We start from the raw sequence: 8,207 nt of genomic DNA on the forward strand, positions 1-8,207 counted from the left end.
GGGGCACTGCCTGGTGGATCTGTGAGAAGAGGGCCACTGTCCTCCAGACCCCAGAATGGTAGATCCACCAACAGCTTGCACTGTGTGTCTGGAAAAGCCACAGACACTCAATGCCAGCCAATGAAAGCAGCCGCAGGGGCTGTACTCTGCAAAGCCACATGGATGGAGCTGCCCAAGGCTATAGGTGCTCACCCCTTGCATCAGTATGTCCTGGATCTGAGACGTGGAGTCAAAGAAGATTATTTTGGAGCTTTAGGATTTAATGACTGTCCTGCTGGGTTTGGGGCTTGCATGGGGCCTGTAGCCCCCTTGTACTGGCCATTTTTTTCCCTTTTCATATGGAGAATTTAGCAAATGCCATATATTGGAAGTAATAGAGGTGGTTTTGAGTTTACAGGATCATAGGTGGAAGTTACTTGCCTTGTCTCAGATGAGACTTTGGAGTTGGACTTTTGGATTAATGCTAGAATGAATTAAGACTTTGGGGGATTGATGAGAAAGCATGATCTGTTTTGAAATGTGAGAACAGCATGAGATTTGGGAGGGGCCAGGGTCAGAATGATATGGTTTGGCCCTGTTTCCTCATCCAAATCTCATGTTGAATTTTAATCCCCAGATGTCAGTGGAGGAATTTGGTGAGAGGTGATTGAATCATGGGGGCAGATTTCCCACATGCTGTTCTTAATGAGATCTGATGATTCAATAGTGTGTGGCACTTCCTCCCTCTCTGTCTTTCTTTTTTTCTCTCCTGCTTTGACATGTGAAGATGTGCTTGCCTTCCAACATGATTGTAAGTGTCTTGAGGCCTTCCAGTCATGCTTCCTGTTAAGCCTGCAGAACTGTGAGTCAATTAAAGCTCCTTTCTTCATAAATTGCCCAGTCTCAGGTAGTTCCTTATAGCAGTGTAAAAACAGACTAATGCAACCAGTCTGCTGGTGATCGATCGTCCTAGATTTTTTGAGAAAGTCTTTATTTTTCCTTTAATTTTTGAGGATAATTTTGTTGGAGATAGAGTAGTAGGTTGGTGATTTGTTTTTTTCAACAGTTAAACTTTAAACAGATACTTTTTTACTCCATTCTTCTGCTTGCATAGTTTCTTACCTGAATTCCAATGTAATTTCTATGTTTGTGCCTTTATAGGTAGTATGTTTTTTTATCTGAAGTATTTCAAGATCTTTTCTTTGTCATTGGTTTACTAAAATTTGAATGTCCTATACCTCGATATAGTTTTGTTTATTTGTTTGTATTTATTTGGTTAGACATTCTCTGAAATTACTGAATCCATGGTTTGGTGTTTTTCACTAATTTTGGAAAGTTTGAAATTATTATTTCAAACATTTATTTTGCTCTCTTTTGTCTTTATTTTTCCTTCTTTTACTCTAGTTACATCTTATGTTATATCCCTAAATTTGTCTCACAGTTCTTGGATGTTCTGGTCTTTTGTTTTTATTCTTTTTTTTTTTTTTTTTTAATTTCAATTTGGGAAGTTTCTATAGATTTATATTCAAGCTCACTAGTTCTTACCTTGGCTGTGTCGATTCTACTGATGAGCACATCAAAGGCTTTTTCTACTTGTGTAAAAATGCTTCTAACATTTCCACCATTTTATTTTGATTCTTTCTTAGAGTTCTGTCTCTCTGGTTACTGTACCATCTGTTCTTGCATGTTGTCTACTTTTTGTGTTAGATCTCCTAACATATTAATCATAGACATTTACAATTACCGGCTTGATAATTACAATATTTGTAACATGCCTGAATCTGGGTCTGATCTTTGCTTTGACTCTTCAGACTTTGTTATTATTTTGTTGTTTACTTTCTTGTTTCTTTTTCTTCCTTTTTGCTGTTGACATGCCATCCATTCATTTACTTGTGAAACTGGACTTGTTGTATTGCATAATAGGAAGCCAAGTAAATAGACCTGTAATGTGAGGATTTATGTTAATCTGGCTAGTGTTTGGGCTTTGTTCAATGTTTGTTGTAGCTCTATGTGCCAGAGGCTTCAAACTCCTCTACGGTCCTTGTTTTTGTCTCCCCTCTTGACTTTGAACTTCTGTAAGTGCTCCTCCTTGCAGAAAGTCTATGTCTTACAGCTCTGTAATCCACCATTATTAAACAAAAGTTTTGTTGTAATTGCAGTAAGGTAGAGAAGAAGATTGTATAATTTTTCAATTAACTTCAGTCTTTTAATGCTCCTGTGTCCCTGGCCCATGACCTTCACAAGTGTTTCTTTTTATATATGTGGTTTTTTTTTCTTCGTCTTAGTTGAGACAGGAATGCTAGTGGAGTGAGAGGAATGCACCTCTTCATAGCTCCAGGACAAGGCTCTGGTAAGGTTTTGTTTCCCCAGAGAGTGTAGGCCTTTGTTATGCAGAAGGCTCTCAGCACATTTCACAAGGATTACTCTTCTCCTCAGGCTAGAACCAGGAGTCAATTTTTCTGGTTTTTGTTTGTTTGTTTTGTTTTTTTACCACAAGAACTGGGTGGAGATTCCAGAGGTAAAGCCCACAAAAGTGTGAGGCTCCCCTAGGACTATGGGCACCGAGAGAATCTTACTCTGAAATGAGCCCACACTAAGCTACCCTTTACACTTCAGTATGTGCTTCCTAAAAACAAGAACATCATTGTGTATCTTCACAACACAATTACCACTAGATACAATATTATTACCGAATCTGTAGACTAGTTAAATGTCGTCACCCGGAGTCCAGCACATGGTTGTGTTATGTTTTCTTTTCTGCTCTTTGGCTATCAATCTGGAATAGGTCCTCAGTCTTTCTATGTCTTTTTAAAAATTATTATTATTATTATTTTATATACAGGGTCTCATTCTGTTGCCCAGGCTGGAGTGCAGTGGTGTGATCATAGCTATTGTAACCTCAAACTTCTGGACTCAAGCAATCCTCCTGCCTCAGCCTCCCCAGTAGCTAGGACTACAGGCACATGCCACCTAGTGAATTTTTTATTCTCTTTTGTAGCAACGGTGTTTCACTATTTCCCAGGGTGGTCTTCAACTCCTGACCTCAAGTGAGCCTCCCACCTCAGCCTCCAAAAGTGCTGGGATTACAAGTGTGAACTACTGCACCCAGCCTTTCTTTGTCTTATGTTATTTTGATACTTTAAAGAGTAAAGCCTACTTATTTAGTGGAATACCTCTTAATTTGCATTGGTCTGTTACTGTATCATTTCCAGTTCATTCTATCAGTAGGCACATGACACTATTTTGTTCTATTTTTGGTGATGTTAACATTGGTCTCTTGGTTAAAATAGTGTCTGCAAAGTTTCTCCAGTGTAAATTTTCTCTGTAAAAATAGTAAGCACACTTTGGGGAAAATACTCTGAAATACTTGTTAATTCTTCAGTCCTCCTCTCACTTCTATCATCCCACCAATTTCCACCTTCATCCCCTCAAAGTTTCAACATTTTTGCCTGGCTATAGCTTAATCGTTCTTTAGGGCACAAAAATGACTTCATTGACTCTTAGACTAAATTGTACTCTCTGTTTAATAATAATAGCTTACAGCATCATCTCAGACCCTAGCTCCAGCCTTGCTGATGTTCAGGCGGTAGAGAGGTAGATCCCCAAATTAACAGGGTGTGGATGGGGAAATCCTGAGAGCATCGTGGCTTTCTGTAATTTGTGTTCTTCATATCTATTCTCTTCATAGAAATCATGCTTTAATGTTGTTTGTAAAAAAATATGCAAAAGTACCAGGGATATTTAAGTTAAAAAAAAAAAAGCCCTCAAAAAAAATCAAAGCCTGCAAGTGAGGTTGTGGACTTAGAGGGAGAAACATACTACGTGATATGAGACTCAGGTCACTATCATGTTTCAGTCATTTGCTGAGCAGCATCTGGTATGTGACCTCTAACAAGTCCTGACAGATCAGGTCTCGGAGGTTGAGTGCAGACACCTCTATCCCTACAAGGCATACTTTGTGGAGAGCCTGGGATTTCTGGAGGAGCTTGGAGACTGAGAAAGTTAGTAAACATTGCTGTAGTATTTGTGCTTAGCCTCTCTGAGTTCAAACAAAATTAGACAGAATCAGAACCAAATTCAAGCTCTTCACAGTGTCAGCTGGGGCAAGGCATAGTGTTTAGACATTGTCCTTATAGCACAGTTGTGCTAGTAGACATCAGAGAGAAGCTTCCAAGAAAAGGAAAGAAATTTTCTGGGAACATCTTACCTTCATCCCTGCCAGGCACAGAACTTCTCAATTAGGGAGAGAGGAGATACAGAATGAAACTATTCTACCCACTTGAAGTAAAGTGATTCGCCCCTATAACATGCACCTTTACTAGAGTTCAGAGCTTGTAGAACAGTGCTGAGGATGTGGCAGGAGCCCAATTATATTCATACAATTAAATTGAATAATATAATACAATGGAAATTACAACCACACTGTCGTGTTGTAAGATATGTACATCATATAGCAGAAAATCATCAAAAAATGTGTGTACTCTGTATGAAAATTCAAAAGTATTTGTTTTGTTTGTATATTTCAGGAATTATAAATTTACGATTGTGTCTCTTTTTGCTTTTTCTGATTCAAAATTTAGAGCTGAAACCAAGGCTTTTGTGACATACTAGTCCATAAGGCAGTGATTGTGTGTGCAAAGTGTGTCTCTGGTTTTATTATTCTGTTCACATATTTTTCCATTTGTATGTCTCTCAAATTTTCTAACCATATAAACCAGAAATTTTCTTTTGCAAAGACAAGTTTCAGAAAAGAAAACATTGTCCTTAATTTAAGTCCCTAAAAACAAAATCTCACATCACTCTACTTATTTTAATATTTAGAATAATTTGATGTTTGTGTAAGGTATATTAGTCATAAGTTAATTCAATTGAAAGTAGTTGTATATGATTTCAAGATAATATGAAAGTATCCATTTTTTTTAAGTAGAGGAGTTTAGACCTTTAATAAAAATATCCAACCTAGAGGATGTTTTTAAAGCTGTTGTAATGTTCATAGTAACATCTTTGTGGCGAGATTAAAATTTCTATGAGAACATTACACTTGAATTCAACAAGTGCTGCCTGTTAGCATGAATAGCAAATGCACATCCATGCTTCTCTTAGATAACAGATGTTGTCTAGGAGGATGGTGATTGCACACACGACAATTTAAAGATATAATTTTTGACATGTGAAGAGTGGAAAAGATAACGCTTGAATCACTAGAATATTTCTCAGTCCATTATTATAAATAGGTGCATGTACCTAAATTAATAATCTTAATTACATATAAAATTTTTGAAATTGGCTCAAAATGTTTATTAACTATTGACTATCCCATTGGGAAGTCAGTGAAAACTTTATATCCATGTATTTGGCAACATATTTTTAATTCTATGTGTTACATATGTTTTTATGTCTTACTTTAAGTTTATTGTGAAATACAATAAAGATATATCAAAATGAATATTCAAATTTAACTATTAACAGATATTACTACTATTCATATTCATAATGCTTATTACCATTCATTATAACATTACAAGTTACTGAAATATTTAATGTTCAAATACGTTGTTCTTGAACAGGCATTTATGTTAAGTTTGTGTAAGTGATGCCATGTTCCACTAAGACAAGACCGAGATATTTAGTTCAAAGGTGACATGTCCTCTTCAATAAGTAGATTGTTATTTTGGTTCACGGTGGTGAGGTGGAGATGGGGCCAACATTAAAGAATCAACATCAGTTTCCTACATATTTTTAGGCAGGTTTTATTTTTCAATAATATGACACACTTCCATTTTTATTTATTACATATTTGTTTCTATGTATCCTGTAAAAATATAAACAAAAAGAAACCCAAAACTTGCACTCACTATTAAAGACAGGAGTCAGGCTTGAGTTCCTTTTTTTCTCCCTCCCTCTCTCCTTCTTTCTCCTCCCCCGCTCTTGCTCTCTCCTTTCTCTTTTTCTTTCATTTTTTTCTTGCTTTCTTTCATTTTAATACCCTTGTTCCCATTGCTAGTATTGTTAATAGAGTCTTATTTGCAATGACTCAACAGTTAAGTCTCTTTCTCCTCATTTCATTTTTTGCAGCAGTGGTTGTCAGGCCAGTGAAAATGAAATGCTGCAGTTGACAGTGTTTAATATTATTTGTTCCTATCACTGTTAACACTTCTATTATTATTGAAATGTTTAGATCAGCACTGTCAGTTCCAAAGGACCTGCTGACATACCAAGGAAAACTTTGATAAACAGCTCTGCTGTATTTCTCTATATTCTTCATAGTCCTCGTTTGAAAATCCTTTCTTGTTCCTTGGAGTAATTTATTTTGAAGAAAAAAAAAATCTTGGTTTGTTAAGAACTCATCAATTCCTGCTTCTTATTTTCCACTTGAAGTTTTAATCCTCTGTTTCTAACCTCACAATCGGTTGCTGTGGAGGTGATTAAGATGTCACAAATATAGGATTATTGTAATTCTGGGTAGAGAATAAGCCTGAGATGATTTTCTAAAGAACAAAGAGGTCATTTTCATGTAAATATATCAACTGCTTCAAAGTGAGGAAAGGGAATGAAACAGAAATATGAGATCTAATACTACCGGTTATAAAAGAAATGGATTAAAATTTCATATGAAAAATTAATAGCTCTGAAAAATTTATACATTATGATTTTTATGATTTTTTGAGTTCTGTGTTTCTTTGCACATGTGTGGGTCTGTAAGCTGAAAGCATGTGTGGGTCGGGATAGCCTCCTAAATACAAACATCTAATTGAATGTAATGTGTGACCTTGAACAAAGACCAATTTTTCCTTTGATTTGTAGAAACCAGTGTCATTTTATAATTATACTTCGTGCCTTCTGTTGCATTTGAAAGAATATTTCAGGACATCACAATTCCCCTGAAGTTGTGTATCCTGTATCAATTACATATTAGATTACAGACTTGATATTGCTTTTTCTAAGTAATTTAAATCTGGGAAGTTACTGAGTAAGTTGTAAATACCTTCTGAGAATCTTCCTCTTCTTCTTACTCTAAGTATAGTAGGAAGGTATTTCCCAGCCTAAGGCACAGAGTAGGCTTTTAGTTAATACTTGTCAAGTAACAACAGGGGACAGACTTCTCTGCTTCTGAAGAAAAATGATGCCTTGACAAACTTTTGAATGGTAAGAGTTACAGAGAACTTTTCCTCCCCCGCCTCCCAGGCCATGGCATTTTATCGCTCCACTGATGAGCATACAGCTCCATCTGGGGGCAGGGCCAGAATGGAACATTTTCTCATAGTCTTGGTCTCTTGGCCACATAGCTGTCATCTTTGTGCATCAGTCAGGCGCTCCCTTCGTCACTAGCACTGAACTGCTCATGGAAGAAAATTTAGTGCCTTGCGATTGGGACTAGCTCCAGCTACCGCATTTCAGGGCATTCCTTAGGATCACTGGGGGCATCATTATGATCAATTCCAAAGGATACTCTTGAGGAGCCCTAAAACCTTAGACTTAGTGATAATGTAATATTTTCCTGCTTCTCTCTTGTTTCTGGGGCATCTCTTTCCTCTGGTTTTCTTTCTAACTCTTGTCTTTCCTTGCCAGTCTAATTTGCACATCACTTAGTCAGCTGCTCCACAGATCGTCTGTATGTAACCCTTTTCTCTTGTCATTCTTCACCCTTCTTTATAAAACGATATCCACACTCATATCTTAAAATAACTTCTTTCCTCTGATGGCTACCACATCTGCACTTAAATCCTTTTCCTCTTGAGATTCACCCTGCAAGTATAATTGTGTCCTACTGAGTTTTGTTTGAGTATCTTGCAGGTAATATGCTCAAAGTTCTTCATCTTCCCAACTAAATCATATCTATCTTTTTCTAGTTTGGAGATGAAATGTTACCTTCCTTTTTTTGTGTGTGCCCTAATGTTAATTACCCCAATCCATCAACAGGTTCTGCCAATTCTGGTTGCTCAAGAAGTCTCCAATCTGTCCTTTATTTATGTATCCTCACTACAATAACCATAGTGATGTTCTTATATTTGGCTACCTGGACCACTGCAACAGCATTTTAATAACCACTTCCCAACATTTAATTCATCCTTTCAACTGCAGAGTTACTGTTCTAAATAAGCAAGTCATTTATGTCATCATTCTGCATTAAACACTTAAAATCTTCCCCATATCCATCAGGGTCAGTCTGATTGAGTGTTTAATGTTACAGAGGCAGACAGTCTGGCTTCAAGTGCTGGCTCTTCCAC

At 36.8% G+C, this 8,207-nt stretch overlaps 1 annotated feature.

The window, feature by feature from the left end:
• Window positions 1,465–2,462: an enhancer, noted in NCBI's record as "OCT4-NANOG-H3K27ac hESC enhancer chr6:140756877-140757874 (GRCh37/hg19 assembly coordinates)". NCBI's record gives its function as "activates a minimal SCP1, AML or CMV promoter by ChIP-STARR-seq in naive H9 embryonic stem cells {active_cell/tissue: H9 hESC(naive)}" and the evidence as "EXISTENCE:reporter gene assay evidence [ECO:0000049][PMID:30033119]".

The sequence above is a fragment of the Homo sapiens genome, chromosome 6 (assembly GCF_000001405.40).
Source record: "Homo sapiens chromosome 6, GRCh38.p14 Primary Assembly".
Taxonomy (NCBI): Eukaryota; Metazoa; Chordata; class Mammalia; order Primates; family Hominidae; genus Homo; species Homo sapiens.